A 24,313-nucleotide genomic window follows, 5' to 3' on the forward strand; every position below is an offset into this window, starting at 1 on the left:
TTAGCTCTTACTTTTGGGTTCTGTGGTCAGTTTTTTAGTTAATTTTTGTGTATGTTAATGAGCTGGGTGTTCAACATCATTCTTTTACATGTGGCTTTCCAGTTATCCCACCACCGTTTGTTGAAAAGACTATTATTTCTCCATTGAATTGTCTCAACACCTTTGTTGAAAATCAGTTGACCATAGACACAGGTTATTTATGAACTCTTAATTCTGTGCCACTGATTCGTATGTCTATCATTTTGCCAGTACCACACTGTCTTGATTACTGTTGCTTTGTAGAAAGTTTTGAAGTCAAGAAGTGTATGTTGCCAAGTATGGTGGTACATGCCCATAGGCACAGCTACTCAAGAGACTGAGACAGGAGAATTGTCTGAGGGCAGGAGTTTGAGGCTGCAGTGTGCTATGATTGCACCTGTGACTAAGACACTGCATTTCAGTCTGGGTAACACTGAGACCCCATCTCTAAAAAATAAAAATAAAAAAAGTGTGAGTCTACTAAATTTTTTTTTCAAGATTGCTTTGGTAATTCTGAGTCCCTTGCATTTGCATATACATTTTAGGATCAGCTTTTCCATTTCTGCAAAAAAAAAAAAAAGGGGGGGGGGATTTTGATAGGAATTGTGTTGAATCTCTTGATTAATTTATAGTATATTACTGTTGTAACAATCTGAAGTCTTTGAATCCATGAACACAAGGTGTCTATTTAGATCTTTAATTTCTTCAACAATATTTTTAGTGTTTTTTAGCTTTCATTGTACAAGTCATACACTGCTTCTGATAAATTTATTCTTAAGTATTTTCTACATTCTGATGCTACTGTAAATGGCATGGTTTTCTTAATTTCATTTTCAGATTGTTTAATGTGTGGAAATACAATTGATTTTGTGTATTGATCTTATATCTTACAACCATACTAAACTTGAGATTTTATAACTTTCAATTCTTTGTATTAAGTAATGGGACTTAATGAATAATATGTATTTTGCTTTTTAGTATGTAAAATGGGTGTTATTTTTAAAATGCACTTAAACATTCTTTTATTACAAGTTTCTTTTCTTTTTGAGACAGAGTTTTGCTCTTGTTGCCCAGATTGGAGTGCAGTGGCGCCATCTCGGCTCACTGCAACCTCTGCCTCCCGGGTTCAAGTGATTCTCCTGTCTCAGCCTCCCAAGTAGTCGGGATGACAGGTGTGTGCCACCATGCCTGGCTAATTTTGTATTTTTTGTAGAGATGGAGTTTCACCATGTTGGCCAAGCTGGTCTTGAACTCCTGACCTCAGGTGGTCTGCCCACCTCGGTCTCCCAAAGTGCTGGGATTATAGGTGTGAGCCACTGTGCCTGGCCACAGGTTTCTTAAATCCCCTTTTTAAGGTGGTAGTGATTTTTCTCTGAATGATAGAATCTTGTAAATGAATTTAATAATTCTAAGGTGTTTTATATGTATTTGGATGGCTGCCAAATTACACATTAATAACAAGTAAATTTGTATTTCTCTGTTCTGGCTACCTTGCGCAAACAATATTTTTGTATACGTAACTTTTATTTTATAATTTTTAAGGTGTTGATATATTTAAGGAGTGCAAATTGGGATACCCGGATTGCAGCAGGACAAGCTGTTGAAGCTATAGTGAAAAATGTACCTGAGTGGAATCCAGTGCCGAGAACCAGACAAGGTGCTTTTAAGTGGAGAAAGTAGTTTTAAGTAAAAACCTAACTGTAGAATTAATTATAATATGCGTTTTGTATTTTAATAATTTCAATTTTAAAGTCTTAATTTCCATGCTTTTAGGTACAGCTTTGTCAGGAAATGATACTGAATAAGGTGATTTTTCACCACATTAAAAAAAAAAAACTACTGGATATAGAAAATGTTTTTGTATACATTTTAAATTACAAATTCTACAGTATGCTTGATTTACAAGGGTTATTACTTCCCTTCAAGTAATTGACATTCTAAAAAAAGTTAAATCAGTACAGTGTAAATATTTGAAAGTCTTTTTTTCTTGTTGCTGGGAGAATAGTATAGGGTAGTTATTTTCTACATTTAAGCACAATTATATATGGATATTTGGAATGTGAAGTCTTGTTTTTTATGTGCCCTTTTTTGGATTTTTTGTAGTGGGAAAAAATGTGTTCTGATTGCCTGTAATGACATTTAAAAACAAATTACATGCTTTTGAAAAGCTGGAAAGCTGCACATTTTAATTAAATCAAAATTTAATGGTACAACTAGATTCGTTTTCAACTGACTTTTATTTTATTTTATTATTTTGTTTTATTTTATTTATTTTATTTTATTTTATTTTTTCGAGACAGAGTCTCACTGTGTCACCCAGGCTGGAGTGCAGTGGTGCAGTTTTGGCTCACTGCAGCTTCCGCCTCCTGGGTTCAAGCAATTCTTGTGCCTCAACCTCCCAAGTAGCTGCGATTACAGTTGTGCACCACCATGCTCAGCTAATTTTGTATTTTTAGTACAGATTGGGTTTTGCTTTGTTGGCCAGGCTCGGGGGGGTGGGGTTTGAATCCCTGGCCTCAAGCATGATTTAGCCTCAAGCTGAGGCCCACGTCAGCCTCCCAAAGTGCTGGGATTAGAGGCATGAGCCACTGTGCCCGGCCTCAACTCCCTTTAATAACATCACTTTTATCATAAGTCTTAGCTTGCCTAATACTGTTGCTTTATATTTGCTGATACCTGTTATTTTGAGTTATTTTGTTAATTTGTCTTCTCTCATTAAATGAAATGTGTGACTAGAGAAGTTATAACTTGTTTTAGAAAAGAGCCTTTTCCTTTTCAGCTTGTTATCCCCACTTAGTTTGGTATGTAAAGATGGTACAACTTAGTTCCGTTTTTAAAAGACTTAATTTTTTTAAAAAACTCGCATTAAGCTAGCATTAAATTTTTAACTAGCTTTAAAATTTTTACTAAATGAATTTGCTTATCATCACTAGAAAACTTAAAATACTAATAGAAATTCCTTTTAAGTTAAGCAGTTATACTTTAGTTTACAGATGAATTTCATGCAGATGCCAGCTAAACAAACTATTAAGTCAGTAAGTAATTATATTTTAACATGTATAACTTACAGCTTTTTGAGGAAGGAATACAGAACATTTTATAGATGTTTTTAGACCTCACATGGATATGTGATTTTAGCAAGTTACCAGGAGATTCTTATTTGCCCAGAGTATGAGAACTGAGTCCTGTTGAGTGCATAGTTGCTTTGTGGCTCAGCCTGTTCCTCAGGTATGGGGAGGGATGATTCTTATTAGCCTTATTCATGAATACATTCTGCGAATATTTTTGTCTTCTAACTGAGCACTGTAATAAACTCATGCTGTTACCTTAGTATTTTTAAACTCTTAACAGTAAGTAGAGACAGCATGATATTTAACATATACATTTTAACATGGGAATGCAATTTCTTTATATAAATAACATTTTGCTTTTGTGGTTGGACACAGTTACACATATACTCACTAACATCTGATGGTCTGTGGAAAAGGAACCACCAACTTATTCACAGATAACTAAGAACTGATCATAAACCCACAGTAGCTTTTCTACTTACTACACTTTTACTTTTCTCAAAATATTACTATCCGGGTACAGTGGCTTACGCCTGTAAATTCCAGCACTTTGGGAAGTTGAGGCAGGAGGGGATTGCCTGAGCCCCAGAGTTTGAGACCAGCCTGGGGCAAGATGGTGAGACCCTTGTCTCTACAAAAATAAATAAAAAACACTTAGCTAGGCATGGTTGTGTGCACCTGTAGTCCTAGCTACTCTGGAGGCTGAGGCAGAAGAAGTCCTTGATCCCAGGAGTTTGAGGATACAGTGAGCTGTGATTATGCCACTACATTGCAGCCTGGGCAACAGAGCAAGACCTCACTTCTTAAAAAAAAAAGTTTGTGTGTGTGTGTGTGTGTGTGTGTGTGTGTGTAACCCATGCAACCCAAGTAATGATATGCTATTTTCTTTCATTCCACACTTTGGCTATATGGTCAAATTAATATTTTTAAACCTCATGTAGAACCTACTTCCGAAAGTTCTATGGAAGATTCACCTACTACAGAGCGATTGAATTTTGACAGATTTGATATATGTAGATTGTTACAACATGGTGCATCACTCCTGGGATCTGCTGGTGCCGAATTTGAAGTCCAAGATGAAAAATCAGGTCTGTAGTGGTTCTGAGAAGAAAGTCTAAAATTTGTTTTTTCAGACTAATTTGTCACTGTGGTATGCTGTTCATTAGTCACACGTAAACTAACATGTCATGAAATGTAAATTAACTGAAGTTTGCAGGTGGCGGGGGATGCTATGAATGGGAGGTAACCCAGCAGTATTTGGTTTAAAGCTACAATATGAGTATTTTTTCTCCTTTAAGTGAATATGTGCATCATTAGTTGATACATATTAATATTTCAGCAACAATTTTATTATGTAGTATGGAAATTATAAAGTGTTCCCCAAGAGCCCCAGTTTAATATATTATAAAATCAGGATTAGTATAGATCGTGGTAGTGTTTTCACAATTCTGGAAATTTGAGAGATTGATTGTTTTGTTTTTATCACATATTTCTGATATTATTGGGTTTACTCATGCTGGTGTCCAACGCAAAAACTAAGAGTGAAAAATAAGACTTGGATAGGTATTCACACCTGTAATCCCAGCACTTTGAGAGGCCAAGGTGGGTGGATCACCTGAGGTCAGGAGTTCGAGAGCAGCCTAACCAACATGGCGAAACCCTGTCTCTACTAAAAATACAAAAATTAGCCGGGCATGGTGGCGAGCGCCTGTAATGCCAGCTACCCGTGAGGCTGAGGCAGGAGAATTGCTTGAACTTGGGAGGCGGAGGTTGCAGTGAGCCGAGATCACACCACTGCACTCCAGCCTGGGCAACAGAGGTAGACTCTGTCTCAAAATAAGAAGAAAAAAATACCGGATAGGTATTGTCCTAATATTTTTAAACTTACAGAATCTATCTGAATATAAAATTACTGTTTTGGCGATTCAAGATAATGGCCTGGAGTGGGGAAAAAACCTTGATGTTTTAAATGGATTTTTGTAAGTAAATAATTTGCATTTTTGAGTAAAAAACAAAACAGAATAACACTCTGTTGCTAATTAATCGTCATTTAGAGGCTTATTAATATATTCACTTTTTTATCATAAAAAATGTCAAATACTCATTTCATCTTGTTTAGTATGGTTTCTATTAAAAGATCTAGTTATTTTTGCAGAGAATTAAGAGGATAATTTGCTTAAGTTTTGGAAAAGCATAGTTTTTCTAATAATGGAGGTAAAACTCTTCAAAATCTTTTCATTTATATCACTAAATAGTAAGTTTACTAACTTTACTAGTGTATTCATGGACATTATCAGAGATCAAAATTATATATATTTTGGTTTTGCCATATTCTTATTTCATAGATCTATGAAGAAGTCTAGGTAATTGTATTTCAAAGAAAAGCCTGGCTCAGCGTGGTGGGTCACACCTGTAATCCCAGCACTTTGGGAGGACGAGACGGGCAGTTCACCTGAGATCGGGAGGTCGAGACCAGCCTGGCCAACATGGTGAAACCCTGTCTGTACTAAAAATATGAAAATTAGCTGGGTGTGGAGGCGGGTGCCTGTAATCCCAGCTACTCTGGAGGCTGAGACAGGAGAATGGCTTGAACCCGGGAGGCGGAGGTTGCAGTGAGCTGCGATCGTGGCCATTGCACTCCAGCCTGGGTGACAAGAGTGAAACTCTGTCTCCAAATAAAAAAAAAAAAGAAAAGTCCTATAGGTGATTCTGATATGTAACCAGGATTGGGAACTGCAGTTTCTTGGGAACTCAGTTTTTTAGTGCTAGTAAGTCACAGCTTGCTGAACAGTGCTTGTTTAAAACCCTGTAGTTAGGTTTTCTTTAAATGTTGATCTGTGTTTGTCCCCTCATATATATTAATGACACCATATATGATTAGTATACATACTGGTCTGGGTTTCCTTTGCAGCTGGTTGTGTAGATTATTTCCCCCAATAGGGCTTCGCCTGGAATGAGAGGACCAATTTTAGGCTCTGTGTAAGTGTATTGGGGTTGTGATCAAGCAGTCTTTTGGATGCCTAGTGTTTTTCCCTCCTGGGTAGACCAATCTTTAAAAAAATTTTCAAGCAGCTTTATTGAGATATAATTTATACATTATACAATTCATCATTTAAAGTATACAATTCAGTGGTTTTTAGTATACTCACAGGTATGTGTAACTATCACCACAATTTTAGAACATTTTCGTCACTTTAAGAAGAAACCCCATATCCTTAGCTATCACCCTTTTATCCTCTTACTTCCTTCCCTCCTCTTCCCAGCAACCATGAGTCTACTTTTGGTCTCTTTAGATTTGCTTATTCTCAACATTTTATATTTGGTCACATACCACATAACAGCATTTAAGTCAGCAACAGACTAGGACTGCATATACAGTTGTGGTCCCATAAAATTATATTACTGTATTTTTACTGTACCTTTTCTATGTTTAGATATATGAATACTTACCATTGCGTTACAGTTGCCTACAGTATTTAGTAACATGCTATACAGGTTTGTAGCCTAGGAGCAACAGGCTATACCATACAGTGTAGCTGTGTTGTAGGCTTTATGATCTAGGTTTCTGTAAGCACACTGTGATGTTGACAACAACCACAAAATCACTGAATGACACATTTCTCGGAATGTACTCATCATTAAATGGCATGTGGCTGGTAAATTGAATCATACAATATGTGGTCTTTTGTGGTGGTTTTTTTTTTACCTAAGAGAATATTTTCAAGGTTCATCTATATGACAGCGTATATCAGTACTTTTTTTTCTTTTCTAAATTTTATTACTGTTAAGGGATGTATCAGGTTTTTTAAATTGTGGTAAAATATATATAACAAAAAATTTACCATCCTTAACCGTTTTTAAAACTTAAGTTTAGTAATGTTAAGTACAGTCACATTGTTGTGCAGCCAGTCTCCAGAAGTCTTCATCATGCAAAACTGAAACTACCTATTAAACGTCAAATCCCCATTTCCCCCTTTCCCCAGCCCCTGGCAACCACCATTCTTTCTGTCTCCATGAATTTGACTACTCTAGATGCCTCATGTAAGTGAATCCTACAGTGTTTGTCTTCTTGTGATGGGCTTATTTCACTTAACTTGATGTCCTCAAGGTTCATCTGTGTTGTAGTATGGGACAGAATTTCCTTTCTTTTTAAGGCTGAATAATAGTCCATTGTATGTATATAAATTTTGTTTATCCATTCATCCATCAGTGGACACAGGCTTATTCCACATTTTGACTGTTGTGAATAATGCTACTGTGAACATGGATGTACAGATATCTGTTTGAGTTACTGCTTTCAGTTCTTTGGGGTATATACCCAGAAGTAAATGGCTGGATCAGATGGTCATTCTATTTTTAATTTTTTGAGGAGCTGCCATTCAGTTTTCCCTAACAGCTGCATCATTTTACATTTCTACCAACAGTACACAAGGGTTCCAATTTCTCTACATCCTTGCCAACTCTTGTTATTTTCTGTTTTTTGATAGTTGCCATCCTAATGGATATGATGTGGTAGTATTTCATTTTATGGCCAAATAATATTCCATTGTATGAATACCACAATTTGTAAAAGCCTTTCATTAGTTGATGGACATTTGGGTTGTTTCTACCTTTTATCTGTTTTGAAAAATACTGCTGGGAGGCAAAGGCGGGTGATCACCTGAGGTCAGGAGTTTGAGACCAGCCTGACCAACATGGAGAAACCCCATTTCTACTAAAAATACAAAAATTAGCCAGGCGTGGTGACGCATGCCTGTAATCCCAGCTACTTGGGAGGCTGAGGCAGGAGAATCGCTTCAACCTGGGAGGCAGAGATTGCGGTGACCCAAGATCGCGCCATTGCACTTCAGCCTGGGCAACAAGAGTGAAACTCTGTCTAAAAAAAAGAAAGAAAGAAAAATACTGCTGTAAAAATTCATGTACAAGTTTTTGTTTGGACATATGTTTTAATTTCCCTCAGGTAGATACCTAGGAGTGGAATTACTGGCTCATATGGTAACTGTATTTTACCATTTGAGAAACTGCCAGAGTTTTCCAAAGTGGCTCTGCTATTTTACATTCAATTTCTCAACATCTTTTCCTAACACTTATTATCTGATGTTTTGATTATAGCTGTACTAATGGTGTGAAGTGATATCTCATTGTGATTTTGATTTGCATTTCCCTGATGTCCAATAATGTTGAACTTCATTTCATGTATTGACCATTTGTATACCTTCCTTAGAGAAATGTCAATTCATATAACTTGCACGTTTTTCATTGGGTTATTTGTCCTTTTATTATAAGTTGTAAGAGTATATGTTCTCAATACAAGCTTCTTACCAGATATGTGATTTATGCATTTCCTTTTTTTCTTTTTCTTTTCTTTTTTTTTTTTGAGACAGAGTCTCACTCCATTACCCAGGCTGTAGTGCAGTGGTGTGATCTCTGCTCACTGCAACCTCCACCTCCTGAGTTCAAATGATTCTCCTGCCTTGGCTTCTTCCTGCAGTAGCTGGGATTACTGGTGCCTGCCCCACACCCAGCTAATTTTTTAATTTTTAGTAGAGATAGGGTTTCACTGTTGTGGCCAGGCTGGTCTTGAACTCCTGACCTCAGGTGAACCACCGGCCTTGGCTTCCCAAAGTGCTGGGATTACAGGCATGAGCCATCACCCCCAGCCTGATTTACACATATTTTCTACTGCTCTATAGGTTATCTTTTCATTTCCTCTGTGGTAAGAAGCATAAAAGTTTTAAATTTTTATGAAGTCCAATTTTTTTGTATTGTTTTGTTTGTTTCTCAAGTTTTTGGTATTATATGTAAGAAACTTGCCAAATTCAAGCTCATTTACCTCTGTTTTCTTCTGAGAGTTTTATAGCTTTAGTTTTTAGTTATTTTATCGATTTTGAGTTTTTTTTGTATATGTTTTGAGGTTAAGGGTCCAACTTCATTCTTTTGCATGTGGCTATCCTGTTGTCTCAACACTATTTGTAGAATATACTGTTCTCTTTCTCATTGAATTGCTCTGGAACTCTTGTCAAAAATCAATTGACCATCAGACACATAGGTTTATTTCAGGACTCTTAATTCTATTCCATTGATGTCTATTCTTACGCGAGTACCACATTGTCTAAATTATTGTTGCATTGTAGTAAGTTCTGAAATCAAGATGCATGAGCCTCCAACTTTGTTCCTGTTTTTCAAGATTGTTTTGGTTATTCTGAGTCTCTTGCATTTCCATATGAATTTTAGGACCAGTCTGTCAATGTTTGCAAAAAAAAAAAAAAAAAAAAAAGCCAGCTGGGATTTTGATAGCAATTTTGTTGAATCTCTGTATACATTTGGGAAATATTAGTGTTTTAACAATATTTACTCTTATGATGCATGAACATTTTCATTTAGTTTTTAATTTTTTTCATTTTATACTTGACAGAATACAAGTTGCTATCGTAAATAGAATTGTTTTCTTAATTTCATATTTGGGCTTTTGTTTCTTTATATCTTTTTTCTCTTTGTTCTTTAGATTGGGTACTTTGTATTGCTTTATCTTTTTTTTATTATTATACTTTAAGTTCTAGGGTACATGTGCACAACGTGCAGGTTTGTCACATATGTATACATGTGCCGTGTTGGTTTGCTGCACGCATTAACTCGTCATTTACATTAAGTATTTCTCCTAATGCTATCCCTCCCCCATCCCCCCACCCCACGACAGGCCCCGGTGTGCGACGTTCCTCCCCCTGTGTCCAAGTGTTCTCATTGTTCAGTTCCCACCTATGAGTGAGAACAGTATTGCTTTATCTTTAAGTTCACTTGCATTTTGTCCTGTTATCTTCCATTAAGCTGTTAAGTCTATCCAGTGGTTTAAAATTTTTTTTTCAGATACTATATTTTTCAGTTTTAGAACTATTTATTTATTTATTTATTTATTTATTTATTTATTTAGAGACAGGATCTCACTCTGTTGCCCAGGCTGGAGTTCAGTGATATGATCGTAGCTCAGTGCACCCTTGAACTCCTGGGCTCAAGCAATCCTCCCATCTTGCTAGGACCACAGGCACGTGCCACCACGCCTGGCTAATTTTTTATTTTTTTTTCTGTAGAGATGGGGGTCTTGCTATGTTACCCAGGCTGGTCCCAAATTCCTGGCCTCAAGCGATTCTCCCACCTTGGCCTCCCAAAGTGCTGGGATTACAGGTGTGAGCCACTATGCCTGCCCCAGAACTTCTTTTTTATTAAAAAAAAAAAAAAAGTTATATTGGCATATTTTGCACATTATTTAATTCACCTTTTTAAAGTGTACAATTCTATATATTTTTAAAATTTTTTGTCCAGATGGGATTTTGCCATGTTGCCCAGGCTGGTCTTGAACTCCTGGGCTGAAGCAATCCTCCTGCCTCGGCCTCCCAGACGGTTGGGATTACAGATGTGAGCCACTGTACCCAGTCTGGTTCTTTTTTATAGTTTCTGATTCTCTACCAAGGTATCCTATCTTTCATTCATTGTGACAGTATCTTCTTTTACATTGAGCGTTGTTATATTAGTTGCTTACGAATCTTGCATTCTGGTTGGGTGCAGTAACTCAGGCCTGTAATCCTAGCACTTTGGGAGGCCGAAGTGGGAAGATGTCTTGAGCCCAGGAGTTTGAGACCAGCCTGGGCAGTCTAGAGAGAAGACCCCACCTCCACAAAAAATAAAAAATTAACTGGGTTTGGTGGTGCATGCCTGTGGTCCCAGCTACTCAGGACGCTGAGGTGGGAGAATTGCTTGAGTCTAGGTGGACAAGGCTCCAGTGAGCTGTCATCATGCTACTGCAGTCCAGCGTGAGTAGCAGAGCAAGAGCCTGTCTCAAAAAACAAACAGAAACCCTAAATAAAACCTTTTAATTCTAACATCTGAGACATCTCAGAGTTGGTATCCATTAATTATCTTTCTTTTAAAAATGGGTTACATTTTCTTTTCTTTGCTTTTAATTTTGTCAGTTATTCTGCACATTATGAACGTTATGCGGTGTAGACTAGATTCTGTTACATTCTTCCAAAGATTGTTTTGCTTGTTTTTGCTTGCTTGTTTTAGCAGACATTTACTTTGGTGGAACTCAAAATTTCAAACTCATTCTTCTTTGCTCTGGACAATAGCTCAAATCTCAATTTTAGCTTTTTAGATTTTAGCTTTTTAGATTTTAGCTTTAGCTGCATTGTCTGGAGTCTGCTCTGGGCATGCATAGTTCATAGGTCAACCAGAGATTTGGGCTGAGTTTACAGAGAATTTTGGCCCTCTTCTCTCTGGCTCTCTTTCTTTTGGGGTTTTCCCTTTCTAACTTCCTGGGATTGTAATGGCCCCTAACTCTCTTCTCATTCTTCAAGCCAAGCCAGAAAGACTGTGGGTTTTGGCCAGGTGCAGTGGCTCACGCTTGTAATCCCAGCGCTTTGGTAGGCCAAGGCAGGAGGACTGCTTGAGGCCAGGAGTTCAAAACCAGCCTGGGCAAACATAATAAACCCCATCTCTAAAATTAAAAATTAAAAAAAAATTAGCCAGGAATGGTGACACATGCATATGGTCCTAGCTACTCAGAAGGCTGAGGCAGGAGGACTCCTTAAGTCCAGGAGTTTGAGGCTGCAGTGAGCTATGATTGTACCTACTGCACTCCAGCGTGGGTATCAGAGTGAGAGACCTTGTCCTTTGTGGGGGGGGGCGGGAAAGAAGACTAGGTTTTTAATTCAGATTTTAGCTGCCACGCATTTCATGTACTGGCTCTATCTTCAGGCTAAAAGCTACAAAAAGGGGAAACTTTTGTTTTTTGTAGCTTTTCGCTTTTGTAGCTTTTAGCTTTTAGTGCTATTCCCATCTTTTTAAGTACTGACAATTCCCCTAAGTAAATGCCTTTTTTTTTTTTTCCTGGTGCCTTTAGGTAGTTTGTTTTTTCTGTTTTTGCCAGTTTGTTAGGTGCAGAGGGTTAGTCCAATAGGAACTAACTCAGCCATTATTAGAAGCAGATCGTTATTGTTTTTAAAATATCAAATTTTTTTCAGTAAGGTATAACTGTCTTTTACAGCTTAGCTGTTTTAAGGGCAAATTTTTATTTTTAAATGCCCTTTGGTATGTTCTGTTTTGTCTGTTTTGCACCGAAGGATTGAGGGTTTTACTTGAGACATTTAAAAACCTGTCTACTTTTATTCTCTTTATTATTTGGGATATTAGGGCTGTATCAGCTCAGAATACATAAAGGCTACACTTGGAGTAAGCATTTGTTTGTTGAGCCCTTTTACTGTTGAACAAAATCTAGATGTTTTTTTAGCCCAGTGAGAGCTTTCGTAGGAGGTACAGGTGTAGCTATAAAATAAAATTGATTTGTTTCCATAGAGATGTATTTTTTTTTTTTTTTTTTGAGACAGGGTCTCACTCTGTTTCCCAGGCTGGACTGCAGTGTTTTGATCACAGCTCACTGCAGCCTTGACCTGGGCTGAAGCAAGCCTCTCGCCTTCAGCCCCTGGAGTAGCTGGGACTACAGGTGTGTACCATCATGCCCTGCTAATTATTTTTTATAGAGATGGGGTCTCCCTACGTTGTCCAGACTGGTCTCAAACTCCTGGGCTCAAGTGATCCTCCCACCTCGGCCACCCAAAGTGCTGGGATTACAGGTGTGAGCCACTGCACCTGGCCCAGGAATGAATCTTATTATTTTATATATATTTACTAATTAACAGTTGGGGAATGCGGGAATCTCAGTGAAAACTCCCAGAATGTTTTGTTAACTAGACCAGTATTTTCCAATGTGATTAGGTAACAGAGTTTATGAGATGATCATGAATGAATATGGTTGGTTTTATTGGCAGAAGGGATGCTTTGTGTATTTTTTTATTTTGATAGAGTTTGATGTGCACGTATTAGAAAACTTCTTAACTGATTTGGAGAAAACGTATTTCTTTTCTGTTGAAAGGTGAAGTGGATCCTAAAGAGAGGATAGCACGCCAACGAAAATTATTACAGAAGAAACTTGGCCTTAATATGGGAGAAGCAATTGGAATGAGTACTGAAGAACTTTTCAATGATGAGGATTTGGATTATACCCCAACTTCAGCATCCTTTGTTAACAAACAACCTGTAGGTAAAACGTTTGGTTATTTGATTGCAAGTAATAATACAAAGGGTTTGCTTCATTTTGTTTATGTAATTATAGTTTAAGAAAATGTTATACTTAGCTCTGTTCATTGCTGCTTAGTGCCACCATAATTTAGCATCTTTTTTTAACTGGATTTCTGATGACAGATTCTATAGAGTTAGAAGCTCAACCTACCTCCCAGACACTGGACTGTTAAGTTGTAGTAGACCTTTTAGGCACTACTGGTATTGAAAGATTCTAATTGCTGCAATTGCTCTTTTTTTGGTATGTTCTTTGATGTAGGGAAAAGTAATTTTTTGGGAGAGTGAGAGATAGTAAGGGCTATTATAGTCAGATATGATAGTAGAAGTGTTTAGTGTTATGATTTATTCTTTTTTTTTTAAGTGAGAAATAAGACAACCGAGAAAGGGTATATAATATGAAGTAAAAGGAAGTTTTTTGCCAACAGGACACAGACATTTCCATGCCCCATAGACAACCATTTTCAAGTTACTTGTGCATCATTTCTGAAACTTGTGTGTACCAAGTGCATGTGTTTGTGTGTGTGTATATATGTATATGTGTGTGTGTGTGTTTGTGTGTGTGTGTGTGTGTGTATATATATATTCCTTTTAAGCCATGTTTACCTTTTCTCACTTCATACAGCTTAATGTGTCAGTATATTCAGATTGACCGCATTCTTTTTGGACAGCTTCATGCTGTTTTGTTTTGTGGCTGTACCATAATTTCACTCTTTTCTTCCTCTTCCTCTATTCCAGTTCCCAGTGGATACATTTGTGCTTCTTAACTTTTTTTATGCCACAGACTCTTTTGAAGCTCTAGTAAAAGCTGTGGCTCTCTTCGGAAAAATGCACATGTGAGATATTACATCTCAAGCGGTTCAGTACTCTTTTACCTGACCCCCAGTATTCTTTTAGGGGTCCATGGGCTGCATTAACAATTCCTGCTTTGCAATTATGAATCTCCTGTCTTGTCATTCCCCTGGTCTTTTCCTTTGCTTCAGTGGAGAATGGTTCTATTTGCCTTTATACGAATGGCACTTTAAACCATTAGAATTTGTAAAGTGTATTTTTTAGGGTTGGGGGTGTGAGTGATGATGAGTAACTTCTGCAGACAAGGGGGTAGAAAGGCAGATACTAGGAGAGAAAAAAGAGAGAGTATGAAGAGGCCAGAATACAGCAACACCCTGAAAGGAACAGAAGGAAATGGGGTAGAAAGGAAAGTGTAAGATGTAACTAGAAGATAAAGAGGATAATAGAATAAAAATGCAATAATATGATCACAGTATGGGTAATTGAACATGGTGTAAGAAAATGAATGGGCAGGTGTATTAGAAAGTGGGCTATACAGATCAGATTAATTGGGTGCGGGATAGGCAACACTAATTTGGGGTTTGCAAAATCCAGATTTATATATCATGGACCTTTGGGGGAAGTTGCTTGAGGTTCATCGTTGCCATAGGTCATTACAGCTGCATTGCTTATATATGTGCCCATGGTTCTTGATCAAGACTGCAGCAGAACATCCACACCAGTGACCTTAACTGTTTGTGGAAGTATAAATTTCAGTTGAATCTTTTGGTTAGGCACAGAAGGGATTTTTAGGCTTGAGCTTAAAAATCTAACGCACAGACTTTATAGTGTCTTCTGTGAATGGAAAAGAGCAAAAAGAGTAGACAGTAAGTAGTTAAGAGGAAAGGGGCATATGAGCTAAGTTGGACTATAGCATGCTGGACCAATCACTTAAGGCTATAATTTATTTATTTATTTTTTTCAGCAGATGGTGATGATCAGTTTCTTCTATTGACATTTATTCTCATAACTTTTTGGTGATATTATTTTTATTTTGAAGTCTTACCTCTTCAAGGCCTTCTCTATGGGTTAGGATCATACATTTGTGCCTCATAATGTAGCATAAAAAAAGTTAAGAAGCATATGTGTATCTGTTGGGAGTTGGAATAACAGAGAAAAGGGAGGAAAAGACTGAAATTATGGTACAGTCATACAACAAAAGAGTGTGAACCTGTCAAAAAAGAATGTGATCGATGTATATATACTGAAATTTATAGACTTGGTCTTCTTCTGAGGCTGAGACTATAGGTACTTATTTTAATTTCAAAAGTTCCAACTCAGCATTCTTTTATTCTTTTAGACTCTTCAGGCAGCTGAATTGATTGACTCAGAGTTTCGAGCAGGAATGAGCAATAGACAAAAGAACAAAGCTAAAAGAATGGCCAAGTTATTTGCAAAACAGAGATCCAGGGATGCAGTGGAAACTAATGAGAAGAGGTAGTAATCTTTTTTTGCCTATTCACTTAAAACAAGAGGGCTCTGTGGCTTTAATCTGTGTCTGCTTGATTTATAGAAACATTCTGCTGACATATTTAGCTGGGGAGTACTGTTTGGATTCTCTTACTCAATTGTCAGAGAGTATTCATTGTACTAGGAACTGAGACCACTTCCCCAGAAAAATCCACATGTACAGACTTTTTTCCTACTAATTATCAGTTTTGAATGAGGGCTGAGGATCTCCAAAGGGGAGAGCATTCCAGGCAGAAGAAACAAGTTTAAATGCCTTAAACATGGAATAATCAAGAAACAAATAGAAGGGCAGTATGGCCTTCTATACTGGGATGAGTGCACAGGAGAGTGATAGAGAATGAAATCAGAGAGGTGTCTAAGGACCACAAGTTAAGAATACTCCCTTAGTAAAGTGGGAGGTATTGTCACGATATTACCTCACCTGTGCCTTAAGCTGGGGCTATGCTAAATAGCCAATGATAATCTAGGCTAGTTTATGTAGTCCTGTTGAAGAAAAGAACTGTGTGGGTAAAGTCACTGTCCTCTGTTTCTTCATAAGTTACTAAAAGTGATCATCTATGCATGGCTTGGAGCAGCATTTCTCAAAGGGTGGTTCAAAACTATTTCCTTCAGGTGCTCTTCGAGGACCTTGTAAAAAAAAAATGCTGTTTTTTTTTTGTTTGTTTTTGTTTTTATGATGCAGTCTCTGTCGCCCAGGCTGGAGTGCAGTGGCTCGATCGTAGCTCACTACAGCCTCAAACTCCCAGGCTCAAGCAATCCTCCTGCCTCAGCCTCCCAAGTAGCTGGGACTACAGGTGTGAACCACCATGTGTGGCTAATTTTTAAATTTTTTGTAGACATAAGGTCTTCCTATGTTGCCTAGGCTGGTCTCTAACTCCTTGGCTCAAGTGGTCCTCCTTCCTCGGCCTCCCAAAGTGTCGGGATTATAGGCTTGAGCCATCACACCTGGCCAAAAATGTATATTCTTGGGTCCCACTCAGATCTGTTAAATAAGAATCTTTAGTGGTGCTCAGGAAATGTTTGCATAAATGCTGAATTAATAAAAAGCCTCGGAAAATAGGATTTGCAAATGACAGAACTTTTTGTTATATGTATTCACATAAAGCTAAAAAGTGTTTAGTGTTTAAAAGCTAGGCACAAAGGGGGATAAATAATAAACATATACTTGGTAGAAATTTATACTTGAGGGTAAATCTTTAACTGCAAACTTTTTATTCAGCTTGTTAATGACAAGATTTTTTAAAAGTTAACAGCTCATTAAGATCATATAGTAACCTAATAAGTTTTTCTACTGGTTTTTATTCATACAAGCACTTTTAGCCAAAGATTTGAATGTTGGAAATATTCGACTTTATTTTTCAGAGTTCATGAGTCATTCACAAACATTTATTAAATACCTTCTATTTGCCAGGTATTGTTCTAGGCCCTGAGGACATGTGTGAATAAAATAGAGAAGAATTCCTGCCTTCGGAGGTTATAGTCTGGAGGGAAAGAAAGATGGGAAATAAATAAGTAAAATACAGTGTGTGTGTATATATGTGTGTATATATATAAAATACAGATAATGTTAAGCGTTAAGGAAAAGAAGATAAAACAGGGAAGGAACATGTGAAATATTTTTGGGGTATAGAGTTTGAAATTTTAGATAGGAAGGTCTAGGAGGGCTTCCTAGAGGTGACTTTTGAGTAACAATCTGAAAGAAATGAGAGTGCTAGTCCTGTGAATATCTAGGAAAAGTTTCAATAGTTTTAAATAGTTTAAGAAAATGTTATGCTTTCCAAATAGAGGGAATTACAAGGACAAATGCCTGCAAGGGGAAACATGCCTAACAAGTTCAGGGACTTAAGGTGACCTACTAATGTGGCTAGATGTGGAGATAATTAAGGGAAGAGTAATAGGAAATGAGAGGGAGGCTCAGATTTCTTTTATCACCTTATAGAAAAAATGGTTGGCCAAATAAATTTCACTATTAAGATGGAGAGAGGGGAGAAGTATTTATAGAAAATAATGCTGTATATGCTTTAAAATGTGCTAAGTTTTTCTTTTCTAAATGCTGAATGAAAGTAGTTTGACTTGTCCTCTCCTTTCCAGTATTAGGCTAGCCTCAAAATTTTTGGTCTTTAAGTCATAATAGAACATTTCCTCAAATTTTCTATATCCTTTTTTCATTGGTCAATTGTTTATCTCCATATTTTTCAAGAACTGGTAAGATTATACTGTATTGCTCAGTATATTAGTTTTCTCTAGTATATAAAAGCCTAAAAACGTTAATGTTATGCTGGACCAGATGCAGGTTATATGCAGGTTATAAAAAAGATGATGAGCTGATTGTAGAGAGGAGGGAAAAATGGCCTATTAAATTCAAGATCCAATTTGAAAAAAAGAATTCACCAACCTATAGTGTAGTTAGAATATATTTTGCTCAAAAAATTTTAAGCAGTTAGTCGTTTGATACATGGGATTTTAAGTAAATCATATAAGCAGAATATGGTGTAAAACATTTGTTTAAATGATGGATTATCTTAAATTCATTGTGATTCACATTATCTTTTATTCATTTCATTCATTGTGGTTCACATTACGCTTTATTCATTTTCTAAATGGTGACTTTTATTTTTTAGCAATGATAGCACTGATGGGGAGCCAGAAGAAAAGAGACGGAAAATAGCAAATGTTGTTATTAATCAGTCTGCAAATGATTCCAAAGTCTTGATTGATAATATTCCAGACAGCTCTTCCTTAATTGAAGAGGTACTCTTGAAAGACTCTAAAGTATCCATTAAAATTGCTTATAATCTTTGGGCCAGCAGCGGTGGCTCACTCCTGTAATCCCAGCACTTTGGGAGGTCGAGGCGGGCGTTATCACGAGGTCAGGAGCTTGAGACCAGCCTGGCCAACATGGTGAAACCCTGTCTCTACTAAAGATATAAAAAATTAGCCAGACGTGGTGGCACGTGCCTGTAATCCCAGCTACTTGGGAGGCTGAGGTAGGAGAATCGCTTGAACCCGGGAGGCCGAGGTTGCAGTGACTTGAGATTGCACCACCGCACTCTAGCCTGGCCTACAGGGCGAGTCTCTGTCTCAAAAAAAAAAAATTGCTTATAAATCTTTTTCAAACTAATATATCATTGAAAGTATTGAATAATCTATTGAGAGAAATTTTATCAGTAAAAATATATCTTAATTAGTTAAAAAAATTAAATTTTTAAAAGCCTGATTGCTACTACTAGACCTAGAAATAAAATTTATTAAGTTACTTAAATTGTTAGCATAAAATAGACCTTTTGAACTAGTAGTAATTCTGTTTTTCTTATTCAGACAAATGAATGGCCTTTGGAAAGCTTTTGTGAAGAACTTTGCAATGACCTTTTTAATCCCTCCTGGGAGGTAAGATTTCTTCATTACAGTTTTTCTCAGCTCTATTTTCTGTGCTAATGAAGGGAACAATGTCAAGAGCAATATACTTTGTCAGAGTCCCTATTCTTCTCTGTTTGTCTCAGGACTCAGGGCACGTCATATCATTGACCTAAATAGAAAACTATAAATTGATTTTCACCTTTCATATCCTTCAGTCATATTCTTTAGTGAATTGTTTATTTCTTTTCGTTCTTTAAATTATAATCCAAAGGCTTGCATATCTCTCCCAGGCAGTAAAAAAAATACTTCCTTTCCTTTGGAAGTGGACAATTTTGATTGATCAAGAGCAGTAGTTTCCAAGCCAGCTTTTTAGCCTCAGAAATCTTTAGAGAACATCTTGAACAGTTCCCAATGTGTAGAAGAGAAGAGTGAAGTTCCTCTGCTTGAAGTTGAGGATTGGTAGTTTCAAACCATTGTTTCTCCCTTCTGTTGGCCTCTGTGTAATTTAAAAAACATTTATTTAGAATACCTTTTAGTTGCCTTTCCTTGGTGTAATTCTATTTAAAGTTACTCAAGTCATAACTCATGGGGTGTTAAGAAGTGGGCACAGTGTCAATAGCTTGTTCTTTTCCTTTCCTGATGACACTGCAGAAAGTAGCCTCACCTTCTCACAGAAAGGTGATTTATCCCCAGGGGTATAGTGATGCATTAATCATAAGACATTTTATTTGTATTGTCTTCTTTTGGCACTCACTTATCATTGGTAGCTTTGGAGCTTAGGTTTTTCACTTTTTGATTTTTTTGAGATGGAGTCTCACTCTGTCTCCCAGGCTGAAGTGCAGTGGCACGATCTTGACTCTCTGCAACCTCCGCCACCCAGGTTCAGGCGATTCTCCTGGCTTAGCCTCCTGAGTAGCTGGGACTACAGGTGCGTGCCACCACACCCGGCTACTTTTAAAAATATTTTTATTAGAGATGGGGCTTCATCATTTTGGCCAGGCTGGTCTTGCTTGAACTCCTGAGCTCAAGTGATCTGCCCACCTGGGCCTTCCAAAGTGCTGGGATTACAAGTGTGAGCCACCTCGCCCAGCCTGGAGCTTAGTTTTGATGCACATATTTTGAAAATACATGTGTTGGGATTATAAAGAACACCTTGGGCTGGGCGTGGTGGCTCATGCCTGTAATCCTAGCACTTTGGGAGGCTGAGGCGGACAGATCGCTTCAGGTCAGGAGTTTGAGACCAGCCTGGCCAACATGGAGAAACCCTGTCTCTACTAAAAATAGAAAAACTAGCCGGGCGTGGTGGCGGGCGCCTGAAATCCCAGCTACTTGGGGGGCTTGAGGCAGGAGAATCGCTTGAACCCGGGAGGCGGAGGTTGCGGTGAGCCAAGATTGCACCACTGCCCTCAAGCCTGGGCAACAGAGTGAGACTCCATCTCGAAAAACAAACAAACAAACAAAAACACTATACGATACTTTCTTTCCTCTCTCTTGCTGTGGATAGTGCTGAATGAAGGTAGAGGATAAGGGAGTGAAAGCAATGTGGATTTATATCTCAAAAGGATTTTAGAATAGCTGTTTTCTTGCTTGATTTTTAAAAAATTCCATATAACCAAAAGCAGTCTGAAATGTATATGTGTAATTCTTCTTAGATAGTTGAAGAAAAATACATTCTTGTAAAGTTCCACTTAGTTTATTCTAATTTCTTAAAAATCCAGTATCCCTATTTCGTATAGAAGAAAAATCAAACTTTGTTTCTTAAACATTTAACATCTGACATTTGCTTCTTTGTTCTTTTCAGGTTCGACATGGTGCAGGCACTGGACTTAGGGAAATTCTTAAAGCTCATGGGAAAAGTGGTGGTAAAATGGGTGACAGCACTTTAGAAGAGGTAAGTGTATTAATGCAACAATTATCACCAAGTATTAATAGTTGGCATCTTTTTCCAATGTAGGGAAGTAACGAGTATGTGCCGTGAAGTAGGAATGAGAGGTAAATAAGAGGAAGAGATATGAAAAGGTAAATATCATACAATGGATTGAAAAGTAGAGTAAGATGAATAAGAGGCTAGTTGAGAGGTCAGTGAGCAACATAATTGGTATTGCCTGGAGACACTGGTAATAGTATAAATAATAGATATATGACCGGTGTGCTTGATATGAGAACAACCTTAAGTAATTAGTTTCTTAATTTCTCTTGGAGTGCGAGTAACATAATACAATCCATGAATTTTAAGAATTGTGATATAGTATATCTGAATTGAATTAATGATCAAAGGGGATATGAGATATGTTTAATATTAAAGACATTAATTGGGACTATTCTACTTTTTGGTTGTTGTTCCTACAGCTAAAATCTGTCCCCATTTTTTATTTTTGATTTTGGACCTAAGGTGTCCCCCAAGTCCCCAGTACAAAGTATGATCTTTGTTTTTAAAAAAATTATGTTAAAAAAATGTGTGTGTGTGTGTGTGTGTGTATATATATATATATATATATATATATATATTATATTTTAACAGATGATTCAGCAGCATCAAGAGTGGTTGGAAGACTTGGTTATTAGACTCCTTTGTGTTTTTGCATTAGACAGATTTGGAGACTTTGTTTCTGATGAAGTAAGTATCATTTAAGGGAGGCTTTGCCCAATCAAATTTCAAATTCTACAAAATACGTTTTTTGCAAATATGAGTTTTCTTCCTTTTTCGTCTGTAGGTTGTGGCACCAGTTCGTGAAACTTGTGCTCAAACATTAGGTGTGGTTTTAAAACACATGAACGAAACAGGAGTTCATAAGACTGTGGATGTGCTGCTAAAATTACTTACACAAGAACAATGGGAAGTTAGACATGGTGGTCTGCTGGGAATAAAATATGCTTTGGCAGTCCGTCAGGTAAATATTTCAAGTTTTGAAGCTTATGTGGGAGAGTTTTTTCCCCCTTATAGTTTATTTTCACTAATTAGACGAAATGGCCGTAGATTCTTACTGTTACAGAGAAGCCAGTCTTCCAAGATTTGCCGTCTTGAGAGAGTGTCATAGAGATAGGTGGCGCTCATAAGAATTTAAGTATAAATCAAAAGATGGTTAGTTACATTGTTTGCTCTTTAAGTTCAAAGATTATTTTTCCTTTTTAATCCATTGCTACAGTTAATTCAGTGCTCTTCATGATTTGGTTTTACTGTTTTAACTCATTTAAATATTGAATACATGCTCTGAGGGCTATACAACATGGTGCCAAGTTATGCAGTATACATACAGGAGTAGACATCAAAGTGTAAAGCAGACAATCTGTATGGTCATGTACTTTTTACATAAACTGTCAGTGTTTTTTTTTTTTTTTTAATCCTTTATGACAAAGCTTAGAAGAAGAAAATGCATGTAGTCTTATTATTTTCATATAGGGAAATAAGTTCTGAAAAATTAGATGCCTTGCTGATGGTCACAAAACTAGTTAAGGTTAGTTAGTACTAGAACTAGAAACTAAATGGCATGTCTTATAGAACAGTGTTTAGTGTAATGTTATACATCATCTAGGATGAAAATACCTGCATATGCAGATAGTCCCCTACTCAGGAACATTTATGTTCCCTTAGTGGGTTATTAAAAACTCTGATATATTCTGGCTAGGACTTCAGTTCTTAGATTGGCCCACAAAAGCCTATTTCATATATAAATATATCTAAAGTCCTTTACTAAACTAATAAGTGCTGTGTAATCTATATATACACATAATATTTTTGTGGAAAAATTGATTCTGATTTCCAATATGAGATGCCAGTAAAACATCTCTTTTCTCCTTCTCCCTGCTTCTCCACCATAGATCTAGTGACAGAATTAGGGACTTCCACAAATAGTTGTCTTGACTCTGAACATAATGGGTCAGCAAAGAGTGAGTATTGACGAAAAAGAAGAGACGTGGAAGTAAAGGAGAGATTATGAATGAGGAGCTAGAGAGAGACCAGGACCTTTTCTTACCAGTTTAATTTCCCGTAATACTTTCCAGTTAGGATCAGCATTGTCAGGGTGTTAGGCATTGGCCTATATAGGCATTTCACTATCCATTATGGCTACTTAATGCTTTGTGCCAGCTTTTCTTCTCTTCCCATGCTCACTGTATAACAGATTGGAACCTCCCTTTCTGTCTCAAAAAGCAAGCTCAAAGGCCTTTTGAAGTTTTCTAAGATTGTCTTTTTTTTTTTTTCCCTTCTTTAACTGCCAATAACAAAGCATTCGTGATTCTGCTGAGAGACCTGAACTCTCTGTCCAACTCTTTTCTCCCTCTGCTCCCTTCCTTGCTTTTCCTGCCCCTTTTAGTGCTCTTCTCCCCTTGGCAGCCACCCTCTTACCCCCATAAACAAAACCTTTTTTTCTGTGTTCTGCACTCTAGCCTCTGTAGATAACAGTAGACTTATATGGAAATGGAAAGCACCTTATTTGTTTTTGAAATATTATCCCTATTTCGTAGTGAAACCAGTTCTCAGTGAGATTCCTAGTATATGATCACAGGAGTAATGTCTGGGGCCTGGTCTGTTGGGGGAAATGAAAAGACATTAAATTGGAATAATGAGAAGTGGGAAGGTATGGCTTTTCTTTCACTCTTCTCTCATTTTCCTTTTGGTTGTCGGTGGCATTGAATGAGATATGGAGGCTAGGATTCTGGCAGAGGGGTTTGTGTGTGTGTGTATTCACACAGAGAATTCATAGTCTTACGTATAAAACATGTTTTGATGTTTTATGTCTCATTGAATAAAGTACTTGATGCCCTTGTCTTTTTCAAATGGGATTACTTAGGCTTCTATTGATGTTACATTTTTGTTTATGTGATTGTTTTTTAGTAGGTACAGTCATAATGATGTTTCAGTCAATGATGGGCCACATATATGATGGTGGTCCCATAAGATTATAATACTGTACTTTGATTGTACCTTTTCTGTATTTAAATATACCAATATTTATCATTTTGTTAGTAGCTGCCTATGGTATTCAGTTCAGTAACATGCTGTGCAGGTTTGTAGCCTAGAAGCAATAGGCTGTGTCACACACATAGTTAGGCGTGGTATAGGCTATACTGTTTAGGTTTGTGTAAGTACACTCTATAATGTTCACAGAATGACAGAATTGCCTGATGTATTTCTCAGAATGTATCCATTGTTAAGCAGTGCATGACTATAAATATTGGAATTTAGCTGTCATGTGGCAAATTTAAATTTTAAAATGTTTAAGCACAGTAACTGTAGAATAGAAAATTAATTTATTTTCATGTACTGTTTTACAGGATGTAATTAATACTTTATTGCCTAAAGTTTTAACTAGAATAATTGAAGGACTCCAGGATCTTGATGATGATGTCAGAGCTGTTGCTGCAGCATCATTAGTGCCTGTAGTAGAAAGCCTTGTCTATCTTCAGACACAAAAGGTAAATTAAATATTTTTACAGTTTCT

The 24,313-nt window shown here is 37.0% G+C and overlaps 1 protein-coding gene across 20 annotated transcripts in view; it reads left to right on the plus strand.

The window, feature by feature from the left end:
- BTAF1 (B-TFIID TATA-box binding protein associated factor 1) overlaps positions 1-24,313 on the plus strand; it is a 107,668-nt gene that overhangs the window by 14,622 nt on the left and 68,733 nt on the right. For 5 of the 20 annotated variants that reach the window (NR_165097.1, NR_165099.1, NR_165091.1 and 2 more), the window contains 10 exons: positions 1,561-1,675; positions 4,031-4,177; positions 13,012-13,175; positions 15,346-15,482; positions 18,137-18,266; positions 18,834-18,902; positions 20,674-20,891; positions 21,394-21,489; positions 21,587-21,763; positions 24,147-24,287. Coding sequence is in view for 6 of the 20 variants with exons in the window: in NM_003972.3 (NP_003963.1) it covers positions 1,561-1,675; positions 4,031-4,177; positions 13,012-13,175; positions 15,346-15,482; positions 18,137-18,266; positions 18,834-18,902; positions 20,674-20,763; positions 21,394-21,489; positions 21,587-21,763; positions 24,147-24,287 (1,266 nt within the window). In the remaining 14 variants the exon portion in view is untranslated. Of the gene's footprint in view, positions 1-1,560; positions 1,676-4,030; positions 4,178-6,794; positions 7,131-12,492; positions 12,583-13,011; positions 13,180-15,345; positions 15,483-16,197; positions 16,310-16,926; positions 17,042-18,136; positions 18,267-18,833; positions 18,903-20,671; positions 20,892-21,393; positions 21,490-21,586; positions 21,764-24,146; positions 24,288-24,313 lie in introns of those variants that run through there. The other 15 variants (NR_165090.1, NR_165104.1, NR_165096.1 and 12 more) reach the window with 11 other exon arrangements.

This window comes from Homo sapiens, chromosome 10, assembly GCF_000001405.40.
Source record: "Homo sapiens chromosome 10, GRCh38.p14 Primary Assembly".
NCBI lineage: Eukaryota > Metazoa > Chordata > Mammalia > Primates > Hominidae > Homo > Homo sapiens.